At 61.2% G+C, this 17,226-nt stretch overlaps 1 protein-coding gene across 9 annotated transcripts; it reads right to left on the bottom strand.

Moving 5' to 3' along the window:
* Nucleotides 2,114-17,008, bottom strand: F7 (coagulation factor VII). 9 transcript variants are annotated; one of them, NM_000131.5, is made up of 9 exons: nucleotides 16,894-17,008; nucleotides 15,889-15,954; nucleotides 11,949-12,109; nucleotides 9,023-9,047; nucleotides 8,839-8,952; nucleotides 6,999-7,139; nucleotides 5,924-6,033; nucleotides 5,203-5,326; nucleotides 2,114-4,386 (listed from the first exon to the last, which is right to left on the bottom strand). In NM_000131.5, exons 1-9 carry the CDS (start codon nucleotides 16,955-16,957, stop codon nucleotides 3,791-3,793), a joined length of 1,401 nt encoding a protein of 466 aa, NP_000122.1. In that variant the 5' UTR covers nucleotides 16,958-17,008; the 3' UTR covers nucleotides 2,114-3,790. The 9 variants fall into 9 exon arrangements, 8 of the variants coding, with proteins under 8 accessions (NP_000122.1, XP_011535776.2, NP_062562.1 ...); XM_011537474.3 differs by lacking the exon at nucleotides 15,889-15,954 and adding an exon at nucleotides 7,732-7,839; NM_019616.4 differs by lacking the exon at nucleotides 15,889-15,954.

Below are 17,226 nucleotides of genomic sequence, written 5' to 3'. Positions count from 1 at the left end.
CACGCCCCAGCTGGGATGGCTGTTGTCTGGCTGCTTATCACTTGGCTTAGGCCTCCTGATTGGAGCCGAGACCTGCTGGCGAGGCAGGGGAGTGACCACGCTGGGAACACATCCACTCTGGCCCCACCTTCCCCAGGCAGAGCTGGGCGGCCAGAGAGGCCCCGCAGAACCTCATCCTCATCAGTCACCAGGGCCGCGGGTGTGGGGACTTTCTGTTCTAAGAATAAAAACATCATTTCGTGCTCATTTTGTAGTTTCCAGATGTTTACATTTAACTCTCAGTCCTCACATACAAATATCATTTTCCCCATCATTTTTCCAGAAGAGAAAACTAAGTTTAGAGAGCGCAGAAGCCTGAGCCGAGGCCGCTGGCAGTGAGCGTGGGATCTGAGCCCAGGACTTCTGCCCCAAGGCCCTGCTTGTTTCTGGGCGGGCCCTTCCGCTCACAGCCACTCTCTGGGTGGTATCAGGTGGTCTCATGTCACGGGGGGGGCTTGGCATCTGCACCATGGCCTCCCACAGGCCAGGCTGGCACCTGCCCCACCCACCCCCAAACCTTCTGTGCCCGCATGGCCCCAAAACGTACTTCTGTGGGGAGTGACCTTCCCGTGACCATCTGGAGGGACAGGCTGTGTCTGAAGCCCCTCCTGACCTGCCCACCACTGGCCACACTGTTCCGAGGCTGAGAGGGCTTCTGGGCTCGTTCTCCAGTGCAGAAACCTCCCATCACAAGGTCCTGAGTGTCTCTGCTCAATGGCTGTGGGAGTCACTGGGAGGTGCAGCCGGGCTTTTTGCCTCTGGGGTCTCTGGAATAAATGGTCTAAAGCTTGGCCAGTGTGGCGATCACTGCCTGCTATGCCGTAGTGGCCGGGGAGCAATGCCCCTAACACCCACAGCACTGGCCACTGCCTCATGGTGCATCTGCCTTGATGGGTCGCCCTGTCTCGCAGCCACCTGCACATGAGCCTGGTGTGCACACATTGTGCGTCATTGTGCCTGGCACACAGGAGGCACTCACTGAGCCCCACCCGACTGCACAAACTGATGATGCTGGATGCCAACGCCAGGCTGGCCTCCCACGGCGGGCACCACGCACAGCCTGGTCCTCTGAGAAGGGCCTTCCTGGTGGCACCAGATGTCTGACTCCTGCCTCTCCTGGTCTCCACCCTCTGACATCGCCTCTAGGCATGTTTGTATGGAGAGACCAATGCGGTGTGTGCACCAACAGCAGGATGCTCATGGCAGACACGCAGTCTTTGTCATCAATGCTGGGTGGCGATGCTGGCTTTGGTGGCCCAAGCCTGCCGCCTCATCCCACCCTGTCCCAGGCCCATGGCCAGTGGCCTCCCCGTATTCTATCTCGCCACTCACAGAAAGCTGGAGCTGAGCCGTGGCAGGTGGCACGTCCCATATGAAACATGTAGCCTTTGGGGGCGCCCAGGCCCTTCAGCGAAGCCTCTGGGGAGTCCCGGGCCCCCTCCTCCGGCAGCACCATGAGGTGGGCGCCTGCATTTCCCATTGGCAGGAAGGGAGGCTGGCGCTCCACCAGGACCCCGCATGACTCCCCTAGTTTCCTCCTGTGGGTCTGGGTGGGCTCCTGAACTGTCCTCTCATCCCCACCCTCCGCTTCTTCCCAGGAAGAGTCCTGCCAACTTCCACTCCCAAGAAGTCAGAGTGGCTTCCAGAACCCTGGGCTGGGCTTAGGCCCTCAGGAGCCCCGGGCATTCTGGTTGCAGAATTTTCTACCAATTCACTGAAGCATCTGTCTGCAGAGTGGCTTTGCTGTCGATGACCATGGCATGGGCCCTTCCAGGGCCTTGTTCCATCCATGCTGATCTCATCCCACCATAAGCATCACGGTGGGCTCCTGTTTTACACATGAGGAAACTGAGGCATGGTCACTCGGACAAAAGAGAAAGCAGAGCCAGCTCTGACCTGGATCAGGGCCCGCCACTGGCTCCCGTCCCGTTTAGGGGGCATTAGGAACCGGGGTCTGGCCAGGGTCAGCAAGCATCTTCAGCAGAGGTCCTGACACTAACCATGCTGGGCTTGGCGGGTCAGCTGGTCTGTCCGGCTGGACGTCTCTGCCACGGCCACTCCATGGACACTAATATGGGTGTGTTCCCATAAAACTTTATTTACAAGAGCAGGGTGCCTTGGAAGCAGCCCACGGCTGTAGTTCATAGACCCTGTCTGCTCTGAAGTAGATGATGCCTGAGTGCCCCCGAGGTGGGTTGCTGGTGCCTGCCTTGCTGCTGTGAGTGCCAATGGTGCCCACCTTGCTGCTGTGAGTGCCAGTGGTGCCCAGGACGGCCCTGCAGGGATGGCATCGAGTCCACTCTCTGAGCCGTGCTTGCCGGAGTCTGAGTGGGGGCACTGTTTGTCACCTCCCCATTTCTCTGTTCATGTGTTTCTCATTCTTCTTCCACCACCCTGGGGACTCAGCAAGAGTGCAGCTTGCCAGGTCCTCCCACTGCAGCCAGGGCCTGGGAACTTGCATTTAGTGATGCGTGTGTCCCTGACTCTTGAGCAGGTGCTCCCAGGGTCTCTGTGAAATATCATTGACAAGGGCTGTGGCAGGGAGAGAACATCCAATTCCACAGGATCCTGGGAGCTACAGCCTCAAACATCTATCAAACAGCTTTTGTTTTTAAAAAATAGCTTCCATGTGAGGGTTCATTTCAGTGATGTTGAAAATTGTGAAAGAAAAGAGCATCTCAGAGGATGAGCACCGGGGGCTCCAAAAATGAATCATGGGCAACCCAGTGGGTGGCAGGCACCACAGGTGTGCGGAGGAGACGCAGCCGTTTATTGTGAAGCTGGGAAGCAGGTGGGGAATAGTCTGTGCAGCCCGGCACCCAGCGAAGGGAGAAATACATTTGGGGGAGAGTTTGGGGGCATTCGCCACCATGCATGGTGATGCTTCTGAATTGTCTGAAGTGAAGATGATAATGGATAAGAACCAGAAAAGTGAGAGCTAAACAACCGCCTTCAGAGGACAGCACACATGGAGTCAGCATCGGTGTGTGTGCATCTGTGTGTGCATCTGTGTGTGTACATCGGTGTGTGTGCGCATTGGTGTGTGTGTGCTCATCCATGTGTGTGCATATCTGTGTGTGCGCACATCGGTGTGTGCATATCTCTGTGCATCCGTGTGCACTGATGTGTGCGTGCATTGGCATGTGCGTGCATCCATGTGTATATCTGTGTGTGCATCTGTGTGTGCATATCTCTATGTGCGTGTGCATCGGTGTGTTTGCGTATCTCTGTGTGACCATCTGTGTGTGCATCCGTGTGTGTGCATATCTCTGTGTGTGTGCATTGGCGTGTGTGTGTGTGCATCCATGTGTGTTCATGCCTCTACTGTCTCCAGCAATGAAGGCAGAGCAGCAGCCTGAGGCCAGCAGATCACGTGCAGGTGGGCTTGGCTGAAGGGAGGTAAGGAGGCTCAGCTGGGCTGTCTGCCTCCAGGACAACCTTGGCACTCCCCTGCCCCTCTGTCCAGCGCCTGTCTGCCTCTGCCTCTCATCTTTTCTATTCCATCTCTGTGTCTCTATTAGTCTCTTTGAATCTTGGAGTCTCTTTGAGTCTCTCTCCATGTCCTCAGAGTCTCTCCCTCAGTCTCTCTCTGTCTCTGTCTCTCTCTGTTTCTGTCTCTGTCTCCCTCCCCACCTCTCCCTCCCTCCCATGCCCTCCTCTACCCCATTAACTGCAGAAGAATATATGGGATTTGGTGCCAGGACAGTTCGACGCAGCCTTGGCTTTCTCTCCACAGGCCAGGGCTGCTGGGCTAGGGAAATGGGGCTCGCAGGAGGACTCCTGGGCGTGGCTCTGAGCGCATGAGCTTTTGCAGCCACTCGATGTACTGGGAGACCCTGGTGTACACCCCAAAGTGGCCCACGGTTGCGCAGCCCTGGCCCCAGCTGACGATGCCCGTCAGGTACCACGTGCCCCGGTAGTGGGTGGCATGTGGGCCTCCACTGTCCCCCTTGCAGGAGTCCTTGCTGCCATCCGAGTAGCCGGCACAGAACATGTACTCCGTGATATTTGGGGAGTCTCCCACCTTCCGTGACTGCTGCAGGCAGTCCTGGGTCATCAGCCGGGGCACGTTGAGGACCATGAGCTCCAGGGCCGTGGCGCCACGGTCCAGCAGCTGGCCCCAGCCGCTGACCAATGAGAAGCGCACGAAGGCCAGCGTCCTCTCAGAGAACGTCCGTTCGGGCAGGCAGAGGGGCACCACATGGTCAGTGAGGACCACGGGCTGGTGCAGGCGGAGCAGCGCGATGTCGTGGTTGGTGGTGCCCGGGACGTACGTGCTGGGGATGATGACCTGCGCCACCCGCCGGCTCTGCTCATCCCCGTCGTGCTCGCTGAGGTCGTGCTCGCCTGGAAGGAAGAAGCCCCCCTCAGGCCCTTTCCACCACCTGCCACCTCACCCCCTGGTGCATGGGGATGGGCTGTGGCCATTTCTAGGTCTGCAGGGGCTGCAGTCTCCTTCTGGGGCAAGGGGACCTGCATCTAACCCCAAGGTGGGGCCAGCCTGCCCCAGGTGGCAGCCTGTGGCTCGTGTGGGGACAAGTGAACTGGGGTGAATCTGGGGTCTGGGTGTTGAGGTGGGGAAGGGATGCTGTGCCCTGGCAGCTGGGAGGACAGGGCGTGCCCCGATTCTCCACAGTTCTTCCCGGCCCAGTGGCCCTCCTGGGAGTGCTCGTCTCACCCATAAACCCAGTGAGCAGAACCCCTGCCAGCCGGTGGTCCCATGAGGCCCTGGGTGTCGCATCCTCTTCTGGGCTCTTGGTCAAGTGAGGCAGGATGGGCAGAAGCCCCCAGTCTTTTATCGTTTTATTTGGGCATGGGAAAGTGGCTGAGAGCACGGTGGCCACAGCAGTCGTGCCCAGCATGGTTGCTCCCCTTTTGGGGATGTCTGTCTGTCTGTGGAAGTGACAGCACGAAGCCCAGAGCCACAGCCCCTGAGACACTTGAGAGCTGCGGTCAGACAGGGGAGAGTGGTACCCACCCAGCACCGCGGTCGGACAGCGGAGAGTGGCACCCACCCAGCACCGCGGTCGGACAGGGGAGAGTGGCACCCACCCAGCACCGCGGTCGGACAGGGGAGAGTGGCACCCACCCAGCACCGCGGTCGGACAGGGAAGAGTGGCACCCACCCAGCACCGCGGTCGGACAGGGGAGAGTGGTACCCACCCAGCACCGCGATCAGGTTCCTCCAGTTCTTGATTTTGTCGAAACAGTGGGCCGCGGAGACCACCCAGATGGTGTTGATCAGGGTCCCCCCACACAACTGAGCTCCATTCACCAACAACAGGACCTGGGCGGGGGGACAGGAGGTGTGGAAGTCACATTGCTGTCATTGTTTCTCTGATGACTCGCCCTCCCGGGCATGCCAAGGAACCTCTGGCATTGCACAATTTCTTTCTGAAATCCTGGGGTCTTTGCAGATCCCTCCCAGGCAAAGCTGCTCAGACCTGGCTCTGGGAGGCTGTGCCCCTCTCTAGCCGAGACGTGCTCTTGGGCACGGCCCAAGAATACAAATGTCGCTGTGAGATTTCACTGTTCACCTCACAGGATCTTCACATAGCTTTGATCCAATGCTCCTGATTTTGCAAAGATCAGGCAAAGATCCCACCTCAAAGAGTAACCGTGAGGACGACGTGACAACTCGGATGGGGCATCTCGCAGGGTTCTCTGCACAGGGTAGACCCTCAGTGAGTGTCGTTTTCTTTTCTCCTTCCTTGCCCCACTAAAAGCATGGGGGTGCCGCGAGCTGGAGGTGCTAGGTGTGCTGACTTGGAGCCTGGTGGGCTTGGGGCTGACCTGCCCATTTTCCCTTCCAGAGCTGTTGTTCACATTCAAAAGGCTTCAAGACCCTCAGGGCTTGGAATCCTGAAGCCAGGGGAAGCCTTACCTGCCATGGACACTCCCCTTTGGGGCACACCTTGCCCCCCACAATTCGGCCTTGGGGTTTGCTGGCATTTCTTTTTTCTAGAATAGGTATTTTTCCACATGGATATTCAACTGTGTAAAACAAAAGTCAGAAAGATGCAGAGATTTGTGAGGGATGAACGTGCCACTAGGAAAGATTCAGAAACACCCATCCTCTGAGAGGCCTTGAGGCCGAGGCTATGGGAGGCCCCCAGGAGCAGGAGCTCCCAGGGCCCAGGGGTGGTGGAAGGCAGGGCCTCGGCTGGGCCTGACTGGTGGGGCCCGGCCATGAGAGGCCCTTGAAGAAGTGGCTGGCTGAGGAGACAATGGTCAGGGCTGGTTTTGGAGGAAACAGAGGGCTTACGTCTTAAAACCGCCCTCTGCTCACTTTTCAGGGAGAAGATGTGTTGTTTGACTTTAGTAGAAGGTGAATGAAATTCTACCTAAAGATGAATCAAACTGTGTTGTTTTGATCCCATGCTTAGTTTTGATCTGCTTCAATCAAGGTCTTGGGCCAGAAAGGAAGCCCGAGGAGGTGGCAGGCTGAGTCCCAGGCTGTGTGGCCAGGGTGGGCACGTCCGCCTCTTTGAGACACAGTGGGTGTGGGGTGTCCCTGCTTTTGGAAGTGCAGCCCATTCGTTCCAGGCTGGTTTGGAGAAACATCCCATTTTCCCAGGAGCCTTTACGAGTTTTGGAATGCAGAGTGGGCAGCAGTCAGTACAGACATTGGCTGTGCCGAAGTAGATTCATGAACCCTGGCGGAGGTCCTGCGAGTGGGAGTTGGACGTGAGATAGTGCCTTGCTTGGCTCCCCTGGTCTGCCTAGAATTGGCAGGGGGCCTGAGGCCATTCAGGGATTGCCCCCAGGGTGCCCATCCTAGTCACTGTCGCTCTGGCCTGTGCCACCCTTGGTGCCCAGATCCCACCTCACAATTGGTCAGTGCATAGTTAGTGCTCAGTAGATGTGAAGCCACTCCCACCCGTCTTTTGTCCAGTAAGATAATCCGTAGTGGGACAGGGACTGGTGTCATCTGGGACTGGGACATGAAGCCTGGTCACCTGTGGGTGTGCAGGACACCCCGTCTGCCAGCAGAGAGTACCCCTCGTGGCACCGACAGGAGCGCTTGGTGCCCGTGTGGTCACTGCAGTACTGCTCACAGCCGCCGTTCTCGTTCACACAGATCAGCTGGTCATCCTTGTCTGGGGACAGGAAGGGGACACCCTGAGAGGGGCTTCTGGGGGTCAGCGAGAGCCAGCCCCCGGGGTGGCCATGCCCTGGGTCAGCAGTGGTGTTCTGCCTGGAAGGTGGCACTGAGCTGTGGGTGACAGAGCCTGAGCTTGGCACCACCTGCTCCGTGGACTGATCCAAAGGACAAGGCGTGGATCAGAGGAGCCACATGTCTGAACAGCCTTGCCAGTGGCTGGCAGTGCTGGCTGCGGTTGCATTTGGGGGGTGCCTGGCTGGTGGGCAGTGGCCTCCAGGGTGACCACTCTTCCGAGCAGCTGATGGGAGCCTGGGGGAAAGTGAAAGTCCAATGGGGATGGTAAAAGTGTCCAAGGGACTTTCCAATCAGAGACCCAACTGACGAGAGGACCAGAGAGCTGAGACAGTTCTCCAAGCTGGCCTCGTACCACCGTGAGCCCGCCTGGGGACAGTTAGTCCCAGCACTGGTCATGGGCTCAGACAGAAGAAGCAGAACCGGCAGCCTGACTTTGGTTGACATGGGCAAGGGGAGTGGCCCTGAGCAAGTCCAGGACTCCGGCGGGAAGGCCTGCCCTGCAGGATGCACACCAGGGCTGCTGGGCACCAGGGCTGAGCAGAGATCTCCAGGCATTCTGGACCCAGATGACCAGCAGGAAGCCTCTCTCTTCAGCCTCCTCCAGCTTGCTGGGCTCTCTTCTGCTTAGAGAAGAAAATGGCTGCTGCACAGGAGAGCTCATTCAGTGTAAGAATGTGGTCTTGGGTGGTCAAGGATGAACTGCTGTGCCAGAGAAAGGGTAGCCTTTGCCTTGGCTCCTGGGAAATGACCGCTAAGCCCTTGGAAGGTCTTGCCTGAGGGAATGTTGGTGTTTACCTGGGCCTTGAGCCATGCTGGATGGTCTAGCTGACAATGTGATGTATGGTGGGGCCTTGGGCCGCACTATCGGCGTAGCCTCTGGAGGGGCTGAGACTGAGGTCAGCCATGCGGGTGGTCAGCTGGGTCTATGTGATTGAGCCCTGATAAAACCTCTGGACACCGGGGCTCGTAGAGCTTCCCAAGTTGGCAGTACTTCCCACGTCTCGTCACACGTCATTCTGGGAGAATTAAGGACTGTCCACATGACCCCACAGGGAGAGGACAAGGGGAAGCTTGTGCCTGGTCCCTCTGCAGACTTAAGCCTGCATCCTTTGCTGTAATAAACGGTACCTGTGAGTGTATCCACTTCAGTGGATTCTATGAGTCCTTCTAGTGAATTACTGAACCCAAGGGAGGTTGGGGGCCTCAAACTTTGTGATAATTTAATATTCAGATGGTTAAAAAAAAAACAAACCCCTCAAACCTTTGTAATGGAAAGTAGAGAAGGGGAAGTTTACCAAGCGGTCCTGCGTGGTGGGATGTGGAAGTGGGACAGGGACACAGGGACTCTCAGCTGGGCCATCTCGAGGGCTGAGAATTGCCCAGGGCCGGGAGCCCAAGGGGCCACTGAGTCTGATAATCAGAACCTTGGGTCCCTGTCAAAGACCTCAGACTGGAAGGGATTTCAAGGTCACCTAGACCAATTTCCAACTGGGGCTGAGCCCTGAATGCCCGGCCTACACACCCCACCAGGTTGTGCACCCTGCAGCCCGGTTGGCCAGGCCACCTCCACCAGCTCCCCAGGGCCCTCTGCAAATATGGGACCCAAAGTGGGGCCTTACGCGTCTCACAGTTCCGGCCCTCGAAGGCAGGGAGGCAGAAGCAGATATAGGACTGGAGCTGGTCCTTGCAGGAGCCCCCATTCTGGCATGGACTTGAGGCACACTGGTCCCCATCTGTGGAGTGGGCTGGTGTCAGTAAGCTGAGAAGGGTTGCAGGCAGGACTGGTGGTGATCATCCACTCACCACTGTAAGAAATCCAGAACAGCTTCTGAAGGAACAAGAGAGCAAGCCTCGTGAGATGCACCTTCACCAGAGCACCCAACGGTAAGCACTGGACACACCATGAACTGGGGTTGGGGGACTTGGACCTGGGTCTGGCGGGGTGGGCTCAGGAAGCCAGACTTTCCTCTGGAGCTGAGGTAGGTTTCTTCTAATCTTGGCCCCTCCCCAGGACATCTGGAACTATGGGTGACCACACATTTCCTGCTCCCAAGTCAGAACACCCGAGGTTCAACCCTGACTCTTCTGTCGCTGAGCTGTGGACCTGGGACGAGGTACACAGGCTCTGAGCCACAGCTCCACCTCTGACAGGGTGGCCACACATACGGGGAGAGGGTGCAGTAGCAGATGCAAAATATTCCACAAACAGCAAAAGCACTCCACAGAAAAAAGTGATTGCTGAAGAAACTGTTGGCCACCTGAACTTAAACTCACGGGGTGCTGTGAGAATACAACAGATGAGAAATGCTTTCAAAACTAGGTGTATAAAAATGCTAGGCATGACCATCCTCAATTTGTCTGGAAAGGGTCATGTTAGCCTTTGCCTCAGACAGCTGGACCTCCTGTGAGTGTGAGGCTTCTTTGAGCATGAGGTGTCCTGAGTGTGAGGTGTCTTGTGCATATGAGATGTGGTTCTGTGAGTGTGAGGCATCCTGTGAGTGTGAGGTGTGGCGACCTGTGAGTGTGAGATGAGTGTAAGGTGACCTGTGAGAGGGAGGTGTCCTGTGAGAATGAGATGATCTGTGTGAGGTGTGACCTGTGAGTGTGAAGTGTGCCCTGAGTGTGAGGTATCCTGTGAGAATGAAGTGATCTGTGAGTATGAGGTGATCTGTGTGAGGTATGGTGACCTGTGGGAGTGAAGTGTGCCCTGTGTGAGGTGTCCTGTGAGAGTAAGGTGACCTGTGAGTGTGAGGTGTCCTGTGAGAGTAAGGTGACCTGTGAGTGTGAGTTGTCCTGTAAGACTGAGGTGACCTATGAGTGTGAGGTGTCCTGTGGGTGTGAGGTGACCTTTGTGAGGTGTCCTGTGTGAGGTGACCTCTGTGAGTTGTCCTGTGGGTGTGAGGTGACCTCTGTGAGGTGTCCTGTGGGTGTGAGGTGACCTGAGTGTGAAGTGTGCCCCGTGTGAGGTGACCTCTGTGAGGTGTCCTGTGGGTGTGAGGTGACCTCTGTGAGGTGTCCTGTGAGTGTGAGGTGACCTGTGAGAGGGAGGTGTCCTGTGAGAATGAGATGATCTGTGTGAGGTGTGACCTGTGAGTGTGAAGTGTGCCCTGAGTGTGAGGTATCCTGTGAGAATGAAGTGATCTGTGAGTATGAGGTGATCTGTGTGAGGTATGGTGACCTGTGGGAGTGAAGTGTGCCCTGTGTGAGGTGTCCTGTGAGAGTGAGGTGTCCTGTGAGAGTAAGGTGACCTGTGAGTGTGAGGTGTCCTGTGAGAGTAAGGTGACCTGTGAGTGTGAGTTGTCCTGTAAGACTGAGGTGACCTATGAGTGTGAGGTGTCCTGTGGGTGTGAGGTGACCTCTGTGAGGTGTCCTGTGTGAGGTGTCCTGTGGGTGTGAGGTGACCTCTGTGAGGTGTCCTGTGGGTGTGAGGTGACCTGTGAGTGTGAAGTGTGCCCCGTGTGAGGTGACCTCTGTGAGGTGTCCTGTGAGTGTGAGGTGACCTGTGAGTGTGAAGTGTGCCCCGTGTGGTATCTTGTGTGAGGTGTCCTGTGAGTGTGAGGTGAAATGACCTGTGGGTTTGAAGTGCACCCTGAGTGTGAGGTGTCCTGTGTGAGGTGACCTCTGTGAGGTGTCCTGTGGGTGTGAGGTGACCCGTGAGTGTGAAGTGCGCCCTGAGTGTGAGGTGTCCTGTGAGTGTGAGGTGACCCGTGAGTGTGAAGTGTGCCCTGTGTGAGGTGTCCTGTGGGTGTGAGGTGACCTGTGAGTGTGAAGTGTGCCCCGTGTGAGGTGTCTTGTGTGAGGTGTCCTGTGAGTGTGAGGTGACCCGTGAGTGTGAAGTGTGCCCTGTGTGAGGTGTCCTGTGGGTGTGAGGTGACCTGTGAGTGTGAAGTGTGCCCCGTGTGAGGTGTCTTGTGTGAGGTGTCCTGTGAGTGTGAGGTGACCCGTGAGTGTGAAGTGTGCCCTGTGTGAGGTGTCCTCTTTGAGGTGATCTTGGAGTGTGAGGTGACCCGTGAGTGTGAAGTGTGCCCTGTGAGTGTGAGGTGTCCTGTGAGTGTGAGGTGACCTGTGAGTGTGAAGTGTGCCCTGTGTGAGGTGTCCTCTTTGAGGTGATCTTGGAGTGTGAGGTGACCCGTGAGTGTGAAGTGTGCCCTGTGAGTGTGAGGTGTCCTGTGAGTGTGAGGTGACCTGTGAGTGTGAAGTGTGCCCTGTGTGAGGTGTCCTCTTTGAGGTGATCTTGGAGTGTGAGGTGACCCGTGAGCGTGAGCTGGAGAAAGTCCCAGGTCCCTAAGTGTTGTTTCTCCCCGACACGTGCCCTGAGGAGGTGCCGCTGGTGGCATGCTGTGGGCCAGCTTCTCACCACGTCCCTTCTGCGAGCCGCGCGCGTCTGCGATGCGCAGGCTGCCCTGGACCCTTCGGGGACTGGGGGGACTCCCTTGGGAAGTTAAGGGGGACACCCTAAGTGTGCTTTGCAAATCGTATTTTCTGATGTGAAAACCGGCATGCGCGGTGCGGCCGCACGGGGAGAGCGCGTGCCTGGGGGTGGGGGGCATCGCCCAGGAAAGCGGAGTCACCCCGGGCGGAAAGCGACCCCCGCAGAAAGCGCCGCGCGGGCGCCGCTGCGTGTTCGCCGCCCACAGCCGCAGCCAAAGAGACGCAGGCGGCCCCACGCGGCCTGGTTCACCGCCGCCTGCAGTGTCCGCGGCGCGGGGCGCCCCGAGGCTGGGCTCACCGTCCTCTCCGCGTCCTTGAAGATCTCCCGGGCCTCCTCGAAGGAGCACTGCTCCTCCTTGCACTCCCTCTCCAGGGAGCCCGGCCGCAGCTCCTCCAGGAACGCGTTGGCGCGCCGGCGCCGGTGCAGGACGCCGTGGGCTTCCTCCTGGGTTACGAAGACTGGGAAATGCGAGTTCCGTGAAGCGCCCACCGCGTGCCCCGCCCAGTGCCTCGGAGACCGCCCCACGGCCCACGCGGCGGGGGCATCGCAGGTTCCCGCCCGTCCTGGAGGAGGGGAGCGGCGCTGCTCGCGGGCCTGGCTGGGTGTCCTCCCTGCCGTGCTCCCGGGTCAGCCACCCCCGTCGCCCATCCTTCCCGGCCTGGCCTCTCTGCTTCCGGGGGCTGATCCCGAGGGCGCGCTCGGGGGCACGCGCGGAAGCCGGGCCGAAGGGGGCTGCGGGCGCCGCCGCGTAAACGTGAGGCTGCGGGTCGATGCCGGCGAGGAGAAGGCGGCGCGGCCCCGGGTGCCGGGCAACCCCCTGGGGCCCACGTGAACCGCGCGTGGAAATCCGTACAGCCGCCCGCGGAAATCCAAATCCCTCGTCTCCACCCGCACCGCGTCTCCGGCGGCCAGATCCGCCTTCCCCAGGCCTCCGTCCTGGTCCGAGGCGCGGCCCCTGCCCGGCTCCCCCGACAGCGAGCCCCGGGCTTCCTCGCCAGCTCTTGGCGGTCCTGGGCTTCTGCCGCCTTCCCCGCCTCCGCTTGGGGCCCCTCTGTCCCCCGCGACCCCTGAGAGCTCCAGACCTCGCGCGGATCCTCCTGGGGCCGGTCCTGAGAGCACAGCCCCCCGCCGCAGCTCCTGGCCCCTCCGTAACCCCGACGGTTACTTGTGGACAAACAGGACCGCCGTTTTGCCCATGGGAAGACGGGGCTGGTGAGGGCCAGAGACGCCCAGGGCGAGGCAACCCCGTGCGCTCAGCTCCGAGCAGGCCGCTCTTCAGGACGCCCTACAGCCGAGGGGACCGTCACCCGGGAGCGCCGTGAGCTGTGGGCACCACGCGGTGGTGGAGAGTGACCCCCGCCCCGGGGCGGCCGTGCTGCCCGAACCTGCCTCAGCCCGCGAGGGGAGACGGGCCTGGGGGCAGGCGGGAGAGGGAGGCCCCGGGAGGAGGCGAGCGGGGCTGAGAGGACGCGCGGGAGGGGCTCTGGAGAGGCCGCAGGAGGCGCGTTCCGGAGGGACGACCTTTGCTGGGAGGACGAGGCCTCAGGTGGACGCTGTGGGCCGGTGGGCAGGAGCCCGAGTTCTGCAGGAGCGGCCTAAATTGGTTACTGAGCGCGGAAGAAGGGACGGAAGGTGAGCGCTACTGGGCCACGTGGGGCCGAGAGAAAGGCCACTGCCTGTTTTCTTTAAAATCAGTTTCACACGTCGACGCCCCTAGAGAACTGGTCTGGTTTGGAAGGAGGCTGAGGATGCAGGCGGGGACACCAAAGAATCGGGCTCAAGGAGGTGGGAACTCACGGACTCCGAGTCCTCACAGGAGGTGCCCTGGGCGGCAGGAGTGGGAGGGGAGGCCCATGTCCCTGCAGTCCCCGACACCCACGCTCCCGGGACACCCACGACCCCCGGGACACCCACACCCCCGGGACACCCACGCCCCCCGGACACCCACGCCCCTGGGACACTCACACTTCTGGGATACCCACGCCCCCGGGACACCCACACTCCCGGGACACCCACGCCCCCGGGACACCCACACTCCCGGGACACCCTCGCCTCCGGAACACCCACACTCCCGGGACACCCTCGCCTCCGGAACACCCACACTCCCGGGACATCCACTCCCCCGGGACACCCACACTCCCGGGACACCCACGCCCCCGGGACACCCACACCCCTGGGACACCCACGCTCCCGGGACACCCACGCCCCCGGGACACCCACGCTCCCGGGACACCCTCGCCTCCGGAACACCCACACTCCCGGGACACCCTCGCCTCCGGAACACCCACACTCCCGGGACACCCACTCCCCCGGGACACCCACACTCCCGGGACACCCACGCCCCCGGGACACCCACACCCCTGGGACACCCACACTCCCGGGACACCCTCGCCTCTGGAACACCCACACTCCCGGGACACCCACGACCCCCGGGACACCCACACCCCCGGGACACTCACACTTCTGGGATACCCTCGCCTCTGGAACACCCACACTCCCGGGACACCCACGCCCCCGGGACACCCACACTCCTGGGACACCCTCGCCTCCGGGACACCCACACTCCCGGGACACCCACTCCCCCGGGACACCCACACTCCCGGGACACCCACGCCCCCGGGACACCCACGCTCCCGGGACACCCTCGCCTCCGGGACACCCACGCTCCTGGGACACCCTCGCCTCCGGAACACCCACACTCCCGGGACACCCACTCCCCCGGGACACCCACACTCCCGGGACACCCACACCCCCGGGACACCCACACCCCCGGGACACCCACACTCCCGGGACACCCTCGCCTCCGGAACACCCACACTCCCGGGACACCCTCGCCTCCGGAACACCCACACTCCCGGGACACCCACAACCCCCGGGACACCCACGCCCCCGGGACACCCACACTCCCGGGACACCCTCGCCTCCGGAACACCCACACTCCCGGGACACCCTCGCCTCCGGAACACCCACACTCCCGGGACACCCACGCCCCTGGGACACCCACACTCCCGGGACACCCTCGCCTCCGGAACACCCACACTCCCGGGACACCCTCACCTCCGGAACACCCACACTCCCGGGACACCCACGCCCCCGGGACACCCACACTCCCGGGACACCCTCGCCTCCGGAACACCCACACTCCCGGGACACCCTCACCTCCGGAACACCCACACTCCCGGGACACCCACGCCCCCGGGACACCCACACCCCCGGGACACCCACGCCCCTGGGACACTCACACTTCTGGGATACCCTCGCCTCCGGAACACCCACGCCCCCGGGACACCCACGCCCCCGGGACACCCACGCCCCCGGGACACGCACACTCCCGGGACACCCTCGCCTCCGGAACACCCACACTCCCGGGACACCCACACTCCCGGGACACCCACGCCCCCGGGACACCCACACTCCCGGGACACCCACGCCCCCGGGACACCCACACTCCCGGGACACCCACGCCCCCGGGACACCCACGCTCCCGGGACACCCACGCCCCCGGGACACCCACACTCCCGGGACACCCTCGCCTCCGGGACACCCACACTCCCGGGACACCCACTCCCCCGGGACACCCACACTCCCGGGACACCCTCGCCTCCGGGACACCCACACTCCCGGGACACCCACTCCCCCGGGACACCCACACTCCCGGGACACCCACGCCCCCGGGACACCCACACTCCCGGGACACCCTCGCCTCCGGGACACCCACACTCCCGGGACACCCACTCCCCCGGGACACCCACACTCCCGGGACACCCTCGCCTCCGGGACACCCACACTCCCGGGACACCCACGCCCCCGGGACACCCACACTCCCGGGACACCCACGCCCCCGGGACACCCACACTCCTGGGACACCCACGCCCCCGGGACACCCACACTCCCGGGACACCCACACCCTTGGAGGCTGGTGTGAGCAGAGCCGGTGACCGCCCTGGGGTGAAAGCAGATTTGCATCAGAAAAGCTCTCAAGAACTGAGGAAAACCTGATGAAGAACACACGATTATCTGGAAGGAACAGAATGGAGCAAAGAAGATAAAATCGCCTGCACCCCAGTCCCAGGGAAGGCCAAGCTGGAGCGGTCACTTCCTCTCGAGCAGGGAACACCCTCCTTGGGGGGCACTGCAGTAGCCACCCCGCGGGCTGGCTCTTTGCCATGGGAGGGGAAGGAGGTGATGTTGGCCCCCACTGGGCCCCAGGACAAAACCAGTGGCAGTCCCTGCTCACCTCTGTGAGGCCCCGGCTTCCACGGCATGTCCCGTGTTTCTCCTCCTGAGGCCTTAGCGACCCCGCCTGGGGCAGGAAGGTGGCCGGGGTCATAAGGCCATGCTGTGAGCTAGGGCTGCAGCCCCACATCCCAGGCACTGTCCCTCACAGCCCACCCCCCACTCGCCATCCCCACACGCCATCCCCACGCCCCACTAGCCATCCTCACGCCACACCCCCTACTCGCCATCCCCATGCCCCACTCACCATTCCCAGGCCCCAGCCCCACTCGCCATCCCCACCCCCCCATGCCCCATCCTCTGCACCCCACACGCCCTTTCCATGCCCCATCCCCCACACCCCACATGCCCCATCCCCGACACCCCACACACCCCATCCCCCACACCTCCATGCCCCATCCCCTGCACCCCACACGCCCTTTCCATGCCCCATCCCCCACACCCCACACACTTTCCCACACCTCACCCCCACACCCCATGCCCCACATGCTGTTTCCCAGGCCCCACCCCCCCACGGCCCATCCCCCACACCCCACACGCCATCCCCACCCCCGATCCTCCACACCCCATCCCCTACGCCCCACATGCCGTTTCCCACACCCCATCCCCCATGCCCCAGGCGCCATCCCCCACGCACCGTCCCCTACCTGTGCTCCCCAGCCTGGGAGCACCCTGTGCGCACTTCCTGCACTCTGAGAGGCCCCAGACTCCCTGCGCTTGTCCGACCTCACAGGCAGGGGCCCATGGGGGCCAGGAAAGCACCACCCACTCCTAAAGTTCTTTGAAAAATAATCCCGCCAAAGCCTGGGCCACCAAGAAGGGCCTCCCCTCCTGTGCCTGGATGCTGGTTTCTAGAAGGAAAGAAATTGAACAGGAGCCGCCAGAAAACCCTCCTGGTGGATGGGGGTGTCCGGAGCAAGGGCGGGGTTTGGGAAGCCCGGGCTGGCTCCTGGATTTGCCCACTGCCCTTCCACCAAGTTTATGGAGAAAACCTCCCCGGACGCACCTGCAGCCAGGCAGCCCTGAAGCCCAAGCAGAAGGCAGAGGAGCCTGAGGGCCTGGGAGACCATGATGAAATCTCTGCAGTGCTGCCCCTGCCTGTTGACATTCCCCATGGGACTGACGGGCAAAGTTCTCTGCCTCCAAGGGTGACAGAGGGATGGGGGAGGGGAGGACACAGGCGTCCTCTGAACACCCCAGCTGAGAGCTGCACCTGGCCGGCCAGTGGCCATGCATCCCCTGCTGCCCAGCCACTGAGCTCAAGTGGGGGGGACAGGAGAAAGGTCAGGTGACCCCAGCTGTGCTGCAGAGCGGACGGTTTTGTTGCCAGCGTGCAGGT

This window comes from Homo sapiens, chromosome 13, assembly GCF_000001405.40.
Source record: "Homo sapiens chromosome 13, GRCh38.p14 Primary Assembly".
NCBI classification, from domain to species: Eukaryota; Metazoa; Chordata; class Mammalia; order Primates; family Hominidae; genus Homo; species Homo sapiens.
Note: the sequence above shows the minus strand (reverse complement) of the source record. Positions and strands in the feature narration are given on the sequence as shown.

What these genes read in the sequence shown, in the direction of transcription:
- F7 (XM_011537474.3), bottom strand. Translation starts at nt 17,002, where the DNA reads ATGGGGAATGTCAACAGGCAGGGGCAGCACTGCAGAGATTTCATCATG. An exon ending in GGTGTCCTGCACACCCACAG is followed by an intron (nt 6,034 to 6,998) that starts GTGACCAGGCTT and finishes TGTTTTACACAG; the next exon opens with TTGAATATCCATGTGGAAAA. An exon ending in GAACCTGATCGCGGTGCTGG is followed by an intron (nt 4,387 to 5,202) that starts GTGGGTACCACT and finishes TCTTCCTTCCAG; the next exon opens with GCGAGCACGACCTCAGCGAG.